Source organism: Homo sapiens, chromosome 13 (genome assembly GCF_000001405.40).
Source record: "Homo sapiens chromosome 13, GRCh38.p14 Primary Assembly".
Lineage (NCBI taxonomy): Eukaryota > Metazoa > Chordata > Mammalia > Primates > Hominidae > Homo > Homo sapiens.
This window is the reverse complement of record NC_000013.11, coordinates 107,658,556-107,677,426: the sequence shown is the minus strand read 5'-3', so window position 1 is coordinate 107,677,426 and position 18,871 is coordinate 107,658,556. Positions and strand designations below refer to the sequence as shown.

The 18,871-nt window shown below is 36.9% G+C and overlaps 1 protein-coding gene across 1 annotated transcript in view, besides 1 other annotated feature; it reads left to right on the top strand.

Moving 5' to 3' along the window:
• The window catches only part of NALF1 (NALCN channel auxiliary factor 1), a 703,987-nt gene that overhangs the window by 190,070 nt on the left and 495,046 nt on the right, over nucleotides 1–18,871 (top strand). The gene's annotated exons all lie outside the window — the stretch shown is intronic.
• Nucleotides 13,779–13,948: an enhancer, noted in NCBI's record as "experimental_31790 CRE fragment used in MPRA reporter constructs". NCBI's record gives its function as "activates a minimal promoter by MPRAs in K562 erythroleukemia cells, with activity observed for the non-introgressed 13:108315912 variant allele {active_cell/tissue: K562}" and the evidence as "EXISTENCE:reporter gene assay evidence [ECO:0000049][PMID:34662402]".

The window sequence follows — 18,871 nt, the reverse complement described above, 5'->3', positions numbered from 1 at the left end:
TAACCTTATTAAGGCTCCTGATATTTCTGTTTTTCTCAATTGTGTTTATACACATTTACACATCTGTGGCTTCAGAAGTACTATTGGCTGGGCACGGTGGCTCATGCCTGTAATCCCAGCACTTTGGGAGGCTGAGGCAGATCACTTGAGGTAAGGAGTTCGGGACCAGCCTGGCCAACATGACAAACCCTGTTTCTACTAAAAATACACAACTTAGCTGAGTGTGGTGATGTGCGACTATAGTCTCACCTACTCAGGAGGCTGAAGCATGAGAATCACTTGAACTGGGGAGGCGGAGGTAGCAGTAAGCCAAGATTGCACCACTGCACTCCAGCCTGGGCGAAGGAGCGAGACTCTGTCTCATAAAAACAAAAACAAACAAAACAAACAAGGACTATTTATTCTATCTGGTCATATATATGATTCTGACCCCAAAGTGGAGACAGTGTCTCATCAAAGCCATAAATCTGTAGGGTGTTATAGCAGGTAGATATTTTGTATCCTGATGAATTTCAGAATTCTTTTGGTATTTTATTATTCTATTCTCCTTCGTTTCTTTGACTTTATTGAGATGATTTATATGATTTTTAAAGTCAAATAGTTTTGTAGGCTTACAACAAAAATAAACATAAGTACTATTTTATACCAGCTTTAAAAAAATATGTATGTATGCATTCAAATGTCAAATGTGGGGTATATACATGTACAGATATATTTCAAAGATAAATATCTTCCCCTTTCATCTTTTCTGTAAATTGTAGCTAGAATTGCATTTCTAAGGTAAAGATACACACAATTTAATTTAATTAATTAAATTAATTAAATTAAATTAATTTAATGATTTAATGATATCACATAAAATGCTGTGATAACAACGTTTTGTCTGTATGACAAAGGGCTATGTCTGTAATGGGGCCTGGCAGCCCTCCTAAGCTAGCCCCATTCCTCTAGCCTTGACAGGTGATTTTACCTATGCCAAATATGCCACATATTTTTATACTATGTCCTATGCCTAAAGGAAGCATGCTGTGGATTTTTCTTCCCACTATTCCTCCACTTGAATACCTAGACTCTCCAAAGATCAAATCTTCACACAGGAATTCCCAGAATGCTGACTGCCCCATTGACATCTTTAGGCACCGGACCTAAGTCTATATGACTCTGTTGGTTGAATAAATAGTATTTTTAAGGCAAATATACTGGAAAGGTTATAAGGTCTGGAGTGGTCATTTGGTCATAGTGTGCATTTGTTTAATTTGATTATACTCTTTTCAAGGGAAGGAAGGAATAAGTAGTATTGACTCCTCAGAGCAGGCTTGAGTGTTTTTCTAGGGCTCTTGTTTTAGCAGGTGAAAGTTCATGACAACCTTTGTACCTTTGGGGAAGGAAGAAGAATTGGCATGGGAGGCAGTTGACCTGTAATTTCACAAGCCTTGGAATTCTGCTTGTGGCTGACAGTTTCCGATGAGACTCTAGAAATCTGGTAGCAAGTGGCTCCTCACTCTGAGAAGGGAAGTTCTTACCTTCCTCCATACCTTCAATTGGAGCCAAGAAGAAGGTATGGAAAATGCATTTTTTAGATCCCCATGTATGAGTGACATTCCTTGCCTCATCTGGATTGGCTCTATAATAGTGACTTGGTATTCCTTGTCAAAGTAATTCAAAAGTGTACGAGGACAAGAATTGACATGCGCTAATACCAGTATTTAAAACGTTGGTGATAGAACCAGGCAGCAGTAGCTAGGGAGATAGAAACCCCAGGCAAAGAACCTTAGGTTCACGTTTCTTTTGACCACAGTAGACTCAGCCTAGTTAATGCCAGCATGATATCAAAGAAATCATTTAATGAAACAAAAACACTTATTTGAGGACTTCAATATGATTGAAGATACATTTTCAAATTCTAGCGATTCAAGAAAAAGAAACGAGATAAAGAAGTTATAATGCAACATGATGAAGATGGTTTAACATTTTTAACAGATACATAAAGATTTCCTCCCTTCCCCCCCATCCGCAGAAAAGCCTCTAGAACAACTCTAATCGCATTTCTTCAACAAGCATCTTCTGGGCGGTGATGCCATCTATGCGCAGGTACAGTGAGAATTTTGGGATCCAGACGTGAGCCTGCAGCCCCAGAGCCTATAGCCCAGTGGGGGGCAAGCTCAAACCTGCTGATAACATCCAGGGACAAATACCAGGGACGTAAGAGCAGAAGGATGAGCAAGTTGCTATGGAAATGGTACACAGAATGTCAGTTTCCTTTGGGAAGTGAAAATCTAACATGAAAGGTGATATTTGAATTGAGCCTTTAAAAAAGCATAGAAATGTCTCTCCAGCCCCAATTCCTTGGCCTCTATCTGCTGAGTCCACTACCACAGGGGACCTCTAACCTGCCTCTCTCAAGGTGTCGTCCTCACTTTGTAACAAATCCTATCACAACATCCTCATCTACCTACTTCTTAGCCTCCTCATTGAGACTAAGAACAGTCCACATCATTGAACTCCAAGCTTCCAACAGAATCTGACCTTTGAGTCGCTGGGGAGGGAGTGAGAGTGCAAAAAAGAAACATTTCGGCAACACACTTTCCCCAACTTGACCTTCACTTTTGCCACCCTGGACTTTTCCCTGGTCTCTGAATTGAGAAACCCTTCCTCTTCTATGCTTTTGAAATGGTGTTTTATGGTCTTGCATATATTTAAAGTGAAATTTTGCATTGTCCCTTCAGGTCTCTGCCTTAGTCTGTGTATGTATTGTAGTGTATATTGTAGATGTGTGATTGTTTCCTTAATGAGCCTCTTCCCAGTCTGGAGTCTCAGCCCCTTGAGGACAGGCACAGGGCCTACCACATTGCATGGCAAGTAGAATGGACTCAATAAATGCTATTTAAGAAAAAATAATGAATAAATGCCAATCTCCCAATAGAAGTCAATTGAAAAGAAGGGCATAAGGTTCAGAGGAGACAGCATGAACAAAACCTTATAGTCATGAAAGCACAGGTCATATTCAAAGACCTGTGAGTGATCCAGCGAGGGCTAAGTAATAGGATGCACTCAGGATGAAATGGAAAAGAGGCTGGAGTGTTTGGTTTGTTTAAGATGCTTGATAGCATGCTTGTGTTTTGGATAATAGAATTTACTATAATGCAGATTTTGGAAAAGTTATGTGTGCACCCTATTTTGTTTGTGGGTTATATCTGGACTGCAATGCAGGACAGTAGGCTAGCAGAGAACATGGAGGCAGGGATTTTGTTTAGACTTTTTTTTTTTTTTAACCTTTCCATTGATCACACTAGGGCTAAGGAGCAGGCAAAGCCAGGAAATCAGATTAGATATTAAAATCTATGCTGGAACTTGAAGTGAAAATTAAGTGATGGTTTGGTGTTGCTCTTGTCTTTGGGCCAGTAATAAAGAGAACTGTAAATGTGTTTTGGAGAACACTTAATAGCTGCTGCCCAGCTCATGTGGAGCCGGCCCTTGGTGTGGGGAGAACACTTAAGTCATCTGTGCCTTCTGCTTCTTCAAGTGGACCAGATCCAACAAGTACAACTGAATGACGTCTTCTGTGACCCTCACCTCATTTTCTTCTTCATTATTACTATTATTTTTTTAATTTTTGACACATAGTAATTATAAATATTTATGGAGTACCTAGTGATGTTTTGATACATGCAATGTATAGTGATCACATCAGAGCAATTAACATCTCCATCATCTCACATGTATCATTTCTTCATGTCAAGAACATTCACTATTCTTCTAGCTGTTTGAAACTAGATATTATTGCTAGCTATAGTCACCCTACAGTGCTGTAGAACATAGAACCAATTCCTTGTATCTAGCTGCAGTTGCGCATCCTTTAACAAAGCTCTTCCCATCCCTGATTATTTTTATTTATTTATTTTAGTTGGAAAACGCTATGATCTGAGCTCATGGATTCTTTTTCATAGCTTGATCCTGAGAGAATAGGAATAGCACCATATCGTCAAGTTGAGCACAATCACTAAAATTCTCCTGTGGTAAACACAACAGCCCCTCTACCTTCCAGAAGACAGCAACTGCATTGCCTCCCTGGGACAAGCTCCAATCCCTGGCTATAAGAGGGGTATGGTGCATCAGGCTATTTTGTGGTTGTTTATTTTCCTCTACTAATTTCATTAAAGCATTTCCCCTGAGAACTAAATCTCATTAAATTAATCCTTTAACAGCAGAGGAGAAGACAGGAGGAAAGAGAAGGGGAAGGAAAAGGAGTCATAGTAATAAGCTATTGGAAAGTCTTTAGAACACAAGATCAAAGCCCAAACATGCAGCCGCACCCATACAGAAAGGAGAGGAAACAGAAAAGGTGTTTTTGGTGTAGTTGCTATAGGTACCTTTGTTGTTCGATATGGGTGTGCATTTGCTGTTGACACTCTTGAGTTAGAAGTGAGCATCTAGATTTGGGGGAATAAATACATCTCCATGTGAAGGAACAAAGGGAGAACCAATGAAAGAAAAGGGAAGTATTGGGCGGTGGGGGCGCGGGGAGAAAAAGGCGAAGATGAGGTAGTAACTGATGTCAAACATTGATGAGCATCGTGTTGGGGACAACAAAGTCCACAGTTCGCAGGTCACTAGTGACCTTGGAAAATTTTTTACCTCAGATAATTTAAAATCACCTTAGGTCACTGGAGTTTAAGTAGGGAGTTTGTGAAGGAGTCAAAGTATTGACAGAATTGCTGTTTGCTAATACTGGTGATGATTATAGTAAAGAGAAGAAATTGTTGAAATAATGAGAAAAAGAATAATGTGAAAGAATCACAGATTTTAAAAAGGCAATAATTGCCTGTTCTGCTAAGGGTTATGTTAGCTATAACCAAGTTTCCCAGCTGGGCAGCCTTGACTCTCTTCTCGCCCAGTATCTTCTCTGATATCAGTTTTCTTTCTACACAGTGGTGCTGAGGATGAGGCAGGCCTGACTATAGTTGATATTAGGACTGTGTTTTCACCACCGTGTCTACAGGGAGCACCTCCCCTATGTGCTACCCTATGCTAGACTCTGTGGATAAGACCTGAACCGCAGCATTCTAAGACAATACATGTTGCATCAGTTTCTCAAAGGTAAACGCCTTGACGAATATGTGTGAGATATTATTAGATTGAAAGTGTAATAGCTATAATAGTCAATCTTCCTCTATTATGGCAAGCTATTTGAGAAAGTCTCATGACACCTTTATGGAAGGATTGGAGAGAAGTGGATTGGATAATAGGCTTAAAGATGCTTCATAGCTGGTTGGTGGACTCAACAGAGTGTTAATTGATGAATACCTGCTCATGCGGACCCCGGAGTGTCCAGGAAAACAGAGAGCTCACGTTCTCCGAACATGTTAGGGCTTTCACAGCCTTTTCTGATTTTCATTCTTACGAACCAATGAGGTAGATTTTTTTTTTCAAGGCAATTTTACCCCTGTAATAGAAGTAGGATTTCTTTTGTTTTTATTGTGAAAACCATTATGTCTCTTGGAAAATAAAAGCTTAGAAATTACAGTAAAAAACACCTTTGCTATCAACAGGAAGCTACTCACATTTTAATATATATTCTTCCAGGCATAGGACAGTCTTCTGAACAAGAAATGTTGCATCAACCTAACCTGTCCTGCTTCACTACTGTACTGTGTGTGCACATTTTTCATGTAATTATTTGTCATTGGTTGTTTTATTTTTGTGGGTTTTCTGGTCTTGTATATTACCATATTTAATTTATTCTCCAAAATAAAGTCTTTTGTTCACCTATATGTGGCAAATATTTACTTTTTAACTTTTAAAGTATGTTTTTATATAAAAGTTTTAACTTTATGTAACGTTCATCAGTCTTTTGTGTAGTTGTTTCTACCTTTGATATTAGATTCCAAAGGCCTTTCCCATGCAGCTTATATAAAACTATGTACATTGATTTTCTTCCAATCATTTTTACATTACTAATTTAATGCAGTGTAAGAGACTATGCTTATGAGCTATAGATCTGACTCTTTTTCATTCTTAAATGATTATCCAGTTGTCCCAGCCCCAACTTTGAATAATCCATCTTTCCTTCTGCTTTTAAATATATTTTTGTTATATGAAAAACTCCCCTGTGTAATTCTTTCTGTTTTTATCATCTGTATTCTTTATCATGGATCTTTCTGCCCATTTATTTACTGGTGCCAATATTTTAATTATGAGTTCACAAGATATATTATTATCTTAAGAAAGTACCACTTCCATGTTCCTCAAATTTTCTTCACTATTTTAAGTACTTATTATTCATTGTTTTAAATAATAATTTTATAAAATGTGAGTGAAAATTTTATTTACTTTTGTTCTACTCCATTAAAATTTGAGTTGAACATACAACATTTTCGATTGATAAGGAAGTTGCACATCTGAGAGATTCAATGACTGATTCAAAGTGACAGAATTAAAAATCAACAGAGCTGGGAAATGATCCTAGGTGTATTGTCCATAAGAGAACTCGAAAGGATGGAGAAGAGGCTAGACAATGGAATCTCAAGACCCAAAAATGTCTTGACTGGCTGTGTAGTTGAAAATCTCACTTCCAAATTTTAACTCTACCAGCACTGGGTATTACTCTTAAGCAAGTATAGGAGACCTTGCTTAACAATAATTTTCAGAAAACGTCTTAGGGTTTTTAGGCTGTAATCTCAATATGAGCAGCACTGTGCCATAAATGCTCCTCAGACCGTAACAAGGAATACCATCAGTGGTTGTGAAGAATATTGAACAGATCTGGGCCCTGTAATCTAGAAGAGCTGGTAAGAAATTATACGTGGCCCATGGGATATTACAATGATAGTAAAGAGTCTCAAAACAAAACAACCAGGCTATGTCTGGCCTCTGTGGATGTAACACCTTCCATGTCTCAGGAGAGATGTTGGACATTTACATACTTTAGTTCATTTACTATTATAGCCTCGAGAAAAGATAGTCTTATCACTGATTTCCATAAGAAAGGGGGACTGAACTCTAGCCCATCTTTCTGAGAGGTCTCACTTAAGTCCCTTATGTTCCCTTTTCTTGAAAATAAGATCAGTGAGATACTACGACCCTTCCTAAGTTCTTGTATGTGTGTGCCTGTGTGTGTGTGTACTTGTGTGTCATGTTTGTATACGTAGTGTATATAAAAGAACAGTTTTACCGGTAGGACTATTTTACTCGTCAATAAGACCACATTTAAATTCACCTAATTGATGCCTGTTTTAGTACATTCTTCTGTATAATGAATTCACCTTTACGCACACCAGCAAATTCTCTGGAGACAATCTTACTAACCTTTTCAGTAATTTTAATGTGACTCTGAACTAAAAGCATAAACATATCACTGCAACAGTAGATGGTGAAGTAGAAAGGATGCATTTTCTGAAGGTGTTTAAGAGTGACTATTTGGCATTTTCTGTGAATCATTAAAAATTATAGAGTGAAGCCAAATAATTCCAAACATCATTTCGGTTGAGTCGAGCTTTCATAAGGGAGGATTTGCAGCATCATTATCCATATAATTCCGTGACCCAGAGAGAATAATAAAACAGTGCAGGGCTGGAAAGTGGGAGGGTGGATGCTGAAATAGGACTCTAGGCAGTTGCATTTGTTCTGGCTTGCAGTGTCTTCCAAAGCCCTCGCACTTAGCTTTTCTTCAGAAAAGAGCCAAGGGACTGCTTGCTTATTTTTTAGTTACTACAATGAGCACATGAACATCAACAGAAAACACTATTGAAATAAGGAAGAAAAATATGCTCTCATGCGGTTCATCTCTGAAAAATGTGGTTGTGTTGGTGAACCTTTGTGATGAGCTCACACAAGCTCTGCTTGTGAACCTGTTGTAAATAACAGATGTTTGATTGTTCTCCCAGTGGCTCCGTGCTTCTTCAGAGAATCCAATATTTTTAGCAGGTCCCTATGACTCATTTATGTTGTATTGAATTGGTTTGCTCTGTTAATGGCATGAGCTTACAATCACGTGTTCCCGTTTTTTTATTTGGATGAAAGATGGAACTTAGCAGTTTTACAGTAGCATTCTGAGTTTCACATTTTCTAGTTTTCAAGCGTGTGCTGCAATTCTGCACAATCATAAGCAATGACTATTAAGAGTAAATTCTGATTACTGGTTATAACTGGATAAAGTGTTTTCATATGCAAAAATTATATCTAAATAAAGCTATGGCTAGCATTTCTCAATTATATTGAGTCTCTCCTGAAAACTAGAATCACATCAGTTTCCTTCCTTTCTTCCTTTCTTCTGTGTATTAGGCCTAGGGTAATGTTCAGCATGTAGATTATCAGCAAAATGTTGATTATATAAATAAATATAAGTAAGAATGTACAAAAAGCTTAATATCAGTATTATGTAATTAAGTTTTGCAAAAGTGTATAAGTATTAATAGCAAAGTCTAAAAGCAAGAATTTTTGAGGACGGTTTACTGATTTCTGATTTCGAAGGTATCTTTTTTTTAAGATGTGTTGAAAACTTAGGAGATCATTCTAATACTTGGTACAATATTTATGGGCTGTCTGTCTTCTATGAAGCTCACAGCGTCCCCTAGGTCTGATCTCATTAAATTTCATGCTGTTTCTCTGAGGCAGGTTATGAACCATAACTAAATTATAAATGAAAAGCTATTAGATTTATAATAGAGTATTTCATGGATGGAGTCTCATAGGGCAGAGAGGCCTGGACTCTACATGAGCACATCTCAGATATCATAGGACAGAGTTGCTCCTGAGTTTAGTGTATGCTGTTGTGTAAGTTCTAGGGTATGGAAGAGAGAATGCCATCATTAACTCAGAAACCCCTAAGAAATATAATTATTCATCATGAATATTGCAAATATTGAAACAAACAAAGGAAGATTTACTTATCTAGGTATCAGACAAACAGAAGAACCAACTAGCTTCTGCTTGCAAAATGTTTCTCAGTAGTGGGTTCCCTAGAGAAGTTGAAGCTGAGTGACTCTCAGGATAGGAAGATAAGAGGCACCACCAGCTCTTCGGATCCCTGTACTCACCCACAAGCAGGACAACAGGAGCAAAACTACCTGAGTTTGGGGCCTCATCAAGATACGGAAGGAAAGAAAGGATCAGGGACTTTCCAAACCTCAGAAGTGAGTTAGTAGTTGAGATGGAAAGTTCAGAACAGAGAATTACATACTATTTTCCCATCTTTAAACCCTGCATGTTTATTCTTTGGGTAGGCAAAAATGGAATATTTGTTTTTATTTTATTTGGTGGATTGTTAGGTGATATATGCCTTACCATAGTCCAGTGACTTTTGAAAGGGCTTATTTCAAAATAGACTGGAAACTACTTGAACTACCAATATATAAGTTTTCAGTGAAGTTTGGGACACATCATTTCTACTTAAAAAATAATTGATATAAATTTCCACATGGACACATATTTTTCCATTGTAAATATGTTAATTAAATTGGGTATGCAGATATATGTAGAGATAAATATATAACAAGAAAGTGGTTCGTGTACTTTTTGCCATTTTAAGAAATAAGAAAATATTTTCCATTATATGGAGAGAAGATTTTTCAAAAATTTGAATGCTCTTCTATGATTGTATAGTGGTTTCATTAGGTGCCTCTTTTGCTGTGAAACTATTATAGCAGCCCAAATGTTTTGTAGGGATTTAATTTCTGATCTCTGTAGAAGTTACACAAATTAACTTTGTTTATAATGGATGGCATTCGTTTTTTTCTAGAAGCAAATTAGAAGAATTGAATTTAAAATGTGACTTTAAACTCGGAAAACATATCTGTTGGACCAAGAATATTAACACTGCACTTTCCTTCATACTACTTCTCTACCTTCAGATATGCTTTAAGAACCTTAGAAATCATTTAGTTTGAATGCTCACATAATTAGTGAGGAAAATGAGGCCTAAACCATTTAGTGACATAAATAAATGAAAATCAAATATTCAGCTTTTTAAATTTTAAATAACCAAAAGAACATTGATTTGGGGGCCTCTTTTCCTTTTGACTTGTATTTTAAAATTATATGAAGTAAAACTTTTTAGTGGGGGTGGTGTTGATAGGATCTCCTCTTATAGGAGGATTTGGTGACTTGAAGGATATAAATATTTTCAGGACATATCAGCATTTAATTTTTAGTGTGTTTATGGGTATTGGGGTTCTCATAAAATTTATATTGACTCTCCAACTTTAAAATGTCGTTTATGGTAATTACATACAAGGTTAAATACAATTAAATTGTTGGGTATCTGTTTATTAATTGAGGGTGCATTTATTGAGCAATTAAATTAGGTGGAAGGAGAATTGGGATCAAGATGAAACTATAAAAATCTAAAAAATGCACGAGTATAATTATTTGAAATAGTGTAATTGTTTCTATGAGGGGTCTTCAAAAAGTTCGTGGAAAATGCATATTATGTAAAAAGCTATGCATGGTTCAAAATTGTTTTTCACTAAAAGAAACTCATATTAACTTGCTCTAACATACCTGAACAGGATCTAGTCTGAGGCACTGAGAATGATAAGACATCAGTTTGAAAAGAACCACATGAATCTGCTGAAATTGAAGCACGAACTAATACCAAATTTATGGCGAATCTTGGATCAAAACGTGAAATTATTGATACTTTACAAAAAAATTATGGGGGCAATGCTTCAAATAAATCAGCAGTTTAACAATGGATAACTCATTTTAAGAAGGAATGAGATGATGTGGAAGATGAGCCTGCAGTGGCAGGCCATCCACATCAATTTGTGAAGATAAAATTAATCTCGTTTGTCCTAATTGAAGAGGACCACAATTAACAGTCAAAACAATAGTCAAGGCCATAGCCATCTCAATAGGTTCAGCTTACACAGTTCTGGCTGAAAAATTAAAGTTGAGCAAACTTTCCACCCCGTGGGTGCCAAAACGGTGGCACCTATATTAGCTGCAGACAAAAAGAGAACTTTGAAGGGAAATGTTAAACAAGTGTAATAAAGATCCCCAAATATTTCTTTGAAGCATTGTCACAGGAGATGAAACATGGCTTTACCAGTATGATCCTGAAGACAATGCACAATCAAAGCAATGGCTACCGAGAGGTGGCAATGTTTCAGTCAAAGCAAAAGTGGACCACCAATAAGAACAAAGATCATGGCAACAGTTTTTTGGCATGCTCAAGACATTTTGCCTGATGACTTTCTAGAGGGTCAATGAACAATAACATCCGGTTATTATGAGAGTGTTTTGAGAAGGTTAGCCAAAGCTTTAGCAGAAAAATGCCCAGAAAAACTTCACCACAGAGTCCTTCTTCACTATGACAATGCTCTTACTCATTCCTCTCATCCAACAAGGGCAATTTTGCAAGAGTTTTCATGGGAGATTATTAGACATCTACTTTACAGATCTAATTTGGCATTTTGTGACTTCTTTCTGTTTCCTAATTTTAAAAAAATCTTTAAAGAACATCAAGTTTTATTCAGTTAATAATGTGCCAAAGACTGCATTGATATGGTTAAATTCCCAGGACCCTCTGTTCTTTAGATATGGACTAAATGGCTGGCATCATCACTTACAAAGGTGTCTTGACCTTGATGGAGCTCATGTTGAAAAATAAAGTTTATCTTTTTCATTTTTATCTTTTAATTTTATTTTTCATAAACTTTTTGAAGTCCCCTCATATTATTCGGTGTCCCTTTGTATATTTTTCTTTTATTTCCAATATTTTTGAAAGCATTTAAGACAACTTACAAGACACAAACATGTCAAGATGAGATAAAATATGAAAAATAATATAAAAGAACAACATATTTCATAGTAAAGCATCCAATTATAGTTTACTCAGAATTGAGAGCAGAAATGGAGAGGGGGAAATATATTTTCTGTAGAATTACCATGCCATGAAATACTATATATTTATTAGACAGGACTGACAAATTTGTCTTTAAGCTTCATTGTAGCAAAAGCTAATATGGAAACTGGTTAGGTACAATACTTACAGTGCCTGTATTGTAAAAAACAAAAACAAAACTATTGCCTAAGAGTAAGAACTATCATGATACTGACAATGTAAGTCTTCTGTTGTCTATTGTCTAATGCCTTTAGAGACATTCTCAACACTCCTGAAACAAACACAATGATAAATCTCATTGGCTGCTTGTTAAAGCTCCCTTTAAATATTACATGTAGAGTATCAGTGCTAAGTATAAGGAAAAAATAAACCTTGAGTATAGATGTGGCTTCTACAGAATATCAGTGCTAAATAGAAGAAAAAAATTAATCTTGAGTACAGACATTTCTTCTACAGTAAGAAAATTGGAATGACCTAACTAGTCAAATGTTTCCCTTACAATGATATTAGGGAGTTCAAAGCTAATTTTTTTATCCTCTTATAGTAACCATTATATGTTTGCTTTTAAGTACCATATTGTCTGTTGGAAATTTTGACATTTTTTTTTTGTTTCACTTTCCCATCATTATTACGTGTTGTTCTGAGTGGTTTGTATGATCAACAGTTGAAACCAAAGAGCTGGAGTAGGATGTGAAGAAGAGGACAAAAACCCCTGGGCAGAGACACACCAAATTCAAGGTACCCTGGGAAAACTGCAGTAGTACTTACAGAAAAACGTGCTTGGGTCAAATTAAAAAAGGATGAATGTATAGTATCTCACTGGATTAAAAGAATACAATGTAGAAAAAGAAAAACAAGCTATGTGGGTATTAAAACTCCACAGAATGCATTGAAGAGAAACATTTCCTTGTGTTTGTATTTGTGTAAAAGTATGAAAAACCAGGGAAACTTGGAGATGAGTAGAATAGGAGAGAAGTCATTTTCTCTGAATGATGGGACAGAGGTTCATAGACTGAAGTTGGGGAGTGGCGGTGAGGAAGGCAGATCAGATAAGGCCTTAGAGGGCGTCACCATAGGTGTTGGCTTTTCCTTTGCATTAAATAGGAAACAATGGAGGGTTATGCTTAGAAGAGGGACACGACCTGTCTTACTTGACACTGTGTTGAAAATAGACTGAGGAAAGCGTAGCAAGAGTGTCAGTAGAGATCAGTTAGGAGCTAATGTGATGATCCAGGTGAGGCTGGAGAGGGGCTTGTACAAAGTGATGGAAGGTGATGAGAAGCCATTGGGTTGTAAGTCTCACCGGAAGGTAGAACCAACACAGTAGATAAGTGGACAGATTTTGTATATGTGAAAGAAAGAAGTGTAGAGGCTATTCATTAGGTTTGTCCTGCAAACTGGAAGAATGGAGTCCTCACTAATTGAAATGAAGACGACTTTGGGAATGGGAGAGTGGGAGGCAGGTTTGATGGAGAAAATGTCAGGTGGTTTTCTGAGATGTCTATTAAATATTAACCAGAGGTGCCAAGCCAAAGGTACACATATGGGCTTGGACTATGGTGGAGATTTCTGAGCTAGAGGTATACATTTGGGAGTCATCAGCACACAGATGATGTCTGAAGCTATGGTAGTGGGTGCAGTCACAAAGGAGGGAGTGAAGAGAGAGAAGAGGTTAGAAGTTAAGGAGTTGAGGAGAATAAGTAACAGAGAATGAGCAAAAGTACCTGAAGTGGTGGGAGAAAGGAAAGGACACTGTGGTATCCAGGAGGCCAAATGAAGAAAGTGCATGAAATAAGAAGGGATCAATTGTGAAAATCATGCCAATAGCTCTAGTAAGATAACTGAGAATTCACTACGAAACTTGGTAATGAGGTGATGACATTGTCAAGATCAGTTTGTATGATACTTTGTATTGTTTTCTAAGTTCTGAAACAGATTATATTTCTTGAGCTGGTGATATGGAGAATTTAGCATGAGTAATTATGGTTTAACTGTGGTATGAGATATTAAAATCCACACACGAAAAACAACAATGACAACAAAACAAAACACATGAAAATACGATTATCTTGACAGGCTTCTGCAGGGTTTTCTGCTTTGAAGATCTTTAAAGGTCTTTTTAACCTTTAACCGAAGACTCAAATGCTGAAGAGGCCTTAACTGTGTGTTTTTCCAGCACTGGTGATAAATCCGCTACATACCTTCTAAAGGTCTTTTTTGGCTGTAGGACAAAGCAATTTCTATTTCATTAGTTTTCTATTCAGGTCTATTACCCTTGGACACAAAAAGGAAACATTTGTCCCCTAAGGAACTGATGAATGAATTTTATGTGCTGTTATGAAAAGAGTCACTGGAATTTATCTCCACCTTCAAACACAGTTGAACATTCTTCAAGAATGAAATATCTTAGTACATTTCATTTGCAAAGTCTTGTTACTGTAAGACATATGATAGTTATATAGTACCAACATAATCAATTTTTCAATGAAAAGAAATTACTCAACCAAATATGTAGTATCACAACAAGTGAGGAGGGGGTTATATGTTTTGTTAATTTAGATGAATTAAGTCATTTAAGTTGAGATAGTAGACACATTAAATAATATATAAATATCAAAGTTAAAAATCAAGTTAAAATTCTAAATTAATATTTAATGATTTATGTAAGTTAATTTTGTTTCTAAAATCTCTAAAACATACTTAGCCAAAAAAGCATAGTCTTTAGTTGAGCTAATAGTCTTTCAATTGTAAACATGTTCATTGAGCCTCTGTAAAACGAGAGTGTCTTTTTACAACTAATAATGGTATCATTATCTCTTCATTAGAAAATGTAGATAAATACAGTTCCCTTTTAAAAATTTCTTTACTGTTAATTTGCTAACATTTTTTGTTTTTTGAATCTTTAAAATTATAATACATAATAGGTGAATTATGTGACAATAATTCTGTTTTCAAGTTATTTTTAATGGATGTGGTTCTTGAGAACTGCATGAAACATACCAGCAGGGAATATCAAAATGGCTAAAAACAATACAACTCCAATTTTAAAGAAAAAATGATTCCCATGCTTTTCCCAGGTATTTGTGTATCTGCTAGTTATCAGGGTTAATTTTCCCTATTAACAGAAAGCATTAACAGGCAACACTGTTCATGCTTTCAATACTTTTAAAAGTCTGCTAAATAAAATGTGGAAGCTGGTAGATGATATACTTTATTGGCTGCTCTATTCTGTCTTAGCAACATGTCCTGGAAACAATGAGTTCTACCACCACGCAGTTGAATCCAGGGTCCAGGACTCCATGTGGATGCTTTCTGGAGCACCCTGTGACCCCGGGACCTCTAGCACAATCATGGCCACCCAGCCAGGCTGTGATGTCCAGGCCAGGGGACACCAAGGGAAGGAGAAGAGTGGTTGCCAAAGTGGGAGAGGAGAGAACAGCATATGTCAGAAAACTTCCATGTCCAAAAATGGCAAGAGGAAGGATTTGATTTTAATGGGAAAATAGAGCTTTTTCTGCTGTCCTCCTCCAACCCTGACTTCTTTTAATCTAGGAAGATTTCATAAATTTAGTCTTTCTTGGAGCAGAAGTAAGTGTTAATAACATCCTCATACAATTTTTTAAAAGATTTTAGCCATAGAAATAAATTTACAGGATTGGGTTTAAGAGTTGAAAAAAATAAGAAATTTATGTAGATTTATTTATTATTTATCATCTTTTTTCTTCTTCTGAGTAGAGCTATAGCAGGTGTTAAGTATCAGGCTTAAAATATGTATAAAATTAGTGTTGTAGAATATATTTATTCCTTGACATTTCTTATTAGCTAGGCATAATTGCCTCAATGTGAATTGGGCTGGAGAACCCATGATTTTCCCAGTGATGATGGATGACAGGATGTTATCTCAAACTGTGAGATGGGAGGTAATTCAGTTTTCACAGAACATTATGTAATGCTAATTAAATTAATCCTCAGGTTATGTGGCATGTCTTGGTTAAGGTATTATGCCGAGTGCTTTTATTTGTTAGGAAGCTTCTCTGTTAGGCCTTTCATATTTAGTTACCTGTGCTACTAGTTCAGTTGGCCGCTCGCAAAAGACGTGACTCCAGTTTGGTTGTTGGACATTCTGTGATAACGTCTTCTCTACATCCTTGAATATGTCATAAACAGCAAGATATGAAAGTAAAAGCAAGCTATGTAAGTGCTTTCCCAAGCTAACAATAAGGCATATGCTTTATAGATTAAATTGGAAGTATATGATGCAGCCTAGTTTAATGTATTTGCCAGCACCCATTTCTAGTGATGAAAAGGTTTTCATTTAATGCTAGTAAGATTCAGAGGAAGGCAAGTGTGGGGTGGCTGGAAGTTGGTGAGAAATCCTGAAACCCAAATCCACACAAAGTTGCTCAAGAAATTTCCTCTGATGAGGAATGCGAATGTTTTTTGAAAGTTCCTAGAATTTAGAAGCTCATAGCACTGAAAACGTCTTGTTTGAGAGGTGCTCCAATCCCGCTCCTGATAAAATGACTAGAGATAGTTTTTTATTAACTCTGAGTTCAACTTACGGATTTTTTCCCAAATAAAATTATGCAATGAAGAAAGTAATCCTTTGATATTTGCAACCTTACTTTTTTTTTAGACAAATTTTTAGATAAACTCTAGGTTTACAGTGCAGTTGAGCAGAAGGTACAGAGATTTCCTACACACCACATCTCTCAGCAAGGCACAGCCTCCCCTAGAGTCAGTATCCCTCATCAGAGTGGTCCATTTGTTACAGTGGATGAACCTACATCAACACATCATCATCATCCAGGGTCCATAGTTTACATTAGGGCTTACTCTTGGTGGTGTACATTCCATGGGTTTAGACAAAGGTATAATGACATGGATTCATCATTATAGTGTATCTCACAGAGTATTTTTCAATGGCCTAAAGATAATCTGTGCCCTAAAAATCATGCTTTTTAACTGTAGATTTGATAATTTTCTCAGATCATGGCCAAGTCTGTGTCTACAAGTAGAAAATAATTAGGAAATTAAACCATTCATATGAACAGTAAGTTTTTTGTTTATTTGTTTTGTTTGTTTTTTTGTTTCTTTGTTGTGTGTGTGTGTGTGTGTGTGTGTGTGTGTGTGTGTGTGTGTGTGTGTTTTTGAGACAGAGTCTTGCCCTGTCACCTGGCTGGAGTGCAGTGGTGCAATCTCGGCTTACTGCAACCTCTGCCCCCAGGTTCAAGCAATTCTCCTGCCTCAGCCTCCCGAGTGGCTGGGATTACAGGGTCACACCATGCCCAGCTAATTTTTGTATTTTTGGTAGAGACGGGGTTTCACCATCTTGGCCAGGATGGTCTTGATCTCTTGACCTCGTGATCCGTCCACCTCGACCTCCCAAAGTGCTGGGATTATAAGTGTGAGCCACCACACCCAACCTAAGATTTTTATAAATCACGTGAAGAGACTATGGTTTGTGTTATCAAAATCATCTTAATTTGAAAGGCAGATATTACTTCAAGCCTTCATTAGACTCAGAATTTCTTCTACTTTACTGAAAATATTTGGCCAGGTGCGGTGGCTCATGCCTGTAATCCCAGCACTTTGGGAGGCCAAGGCAGGCGGATCACAAGGTCAGGAGATGGAGACCATCCTGGCTAACATGGTGAAACCCCGTCTCTACTAAAAATACAAAAAATTAGCTGGGTGTGGTGGCTGAGATTGCACCACTGCACTCCAGCCTGGGCAACAGAGCGAGACTACATCTCAAAAAAAAAAAAGAAAATGTTTGGCAATTTATACTTTTTTAAAAGTGAGGGACCACCTGTAATTGGTTTATAGCCAAATGTTTAGAGAAGAATATATTACTTAGAATTCAGTGGCGGCCAAATCCATGTCATTTATAAATTTAAAAGTATATATTATTGATTTTATATTTTATATATTTAGAAAGCACCACTCTAAGCACCATATAAAAAGAAAAAAAACACATTCACTGCCATGGAGGTTCTTATTATTTAATACGAGAGATAGGCAATTCTACTATAATACAAGTTAGACTACTGTATGTTTCAAAAAAAAAAAGATGCCAAATAAATGCTATAGGGGAAGGAGGGAGAATAGGTCTCTAGAAATAAGTAAATGTTAGTTTGAGGGATTACAAGGATGATTTTAGATCTAAACTTTTTAAATGACAAAAATGTGGAAGACATGCTACTTGAGACCAAAGACAAAGATAGAAGACACTCCACTGATAAGGCAGCAATCTAGTGGGAAAAAAAGATAAATGCAATAGATTACATGCAAATTATAAGCAAGAAGTATAAATGAATGGTATGGAGCAAAGAAATGGTTCCTGATTCACCCTGGTGGGTGGCTTCCCAGGGGAACGTGACACTTCAGTGGATTCTTAAACAATGAAGAGGCTGCATTAGGAAGACAAGTTTGAGTGCGTGTGTGTGTGTGTGTGTGTGTGTGTGTGTCTGTGTGTCAGTGTGTCAGTGCTGGCTAGTTGAGGGGGGTATTCCAAATAAAATACTTAACAAGAAAATGCACAGAGAAGAGGAGAAATAATGGTGCACATGGGTAACTAGAAGTAGTTTTGTTTCCACTAACATGGAGCTTTATGGAGCAGGTGGAATAATGATCTGGAGAAGCGGTCACATTTCAGGTCACTACCTTCCTTGACTGGGGACCTACTGAACAAACAATCTGAGTAGGGGAAGGGCATAATCAACTTTTGTTATAGAAATACCATTTTCGTGGTGTTAAGGCAGAGGAACTTGAATTGGGAAATGATTCAAGGCAGTGGGATTATTTTAATAACACTGGTAAGAAGTGATGAGTGGGTCAAGGGTAAGAAGGCTTCAATGAGGTTAAAGAATAGTGGAGCGGGAGTGAGGGAATCTGAGTTTAGAGCAATACAAAGCTACAAGAATGAAAATTTGGGATTTGAGTTTTCAGAAATATAATAATTTAAAGTGATGACAAGAAATAGAGTTTGAAAATGCCCCTGGACTATTAGAAATCACAGAGATTGAG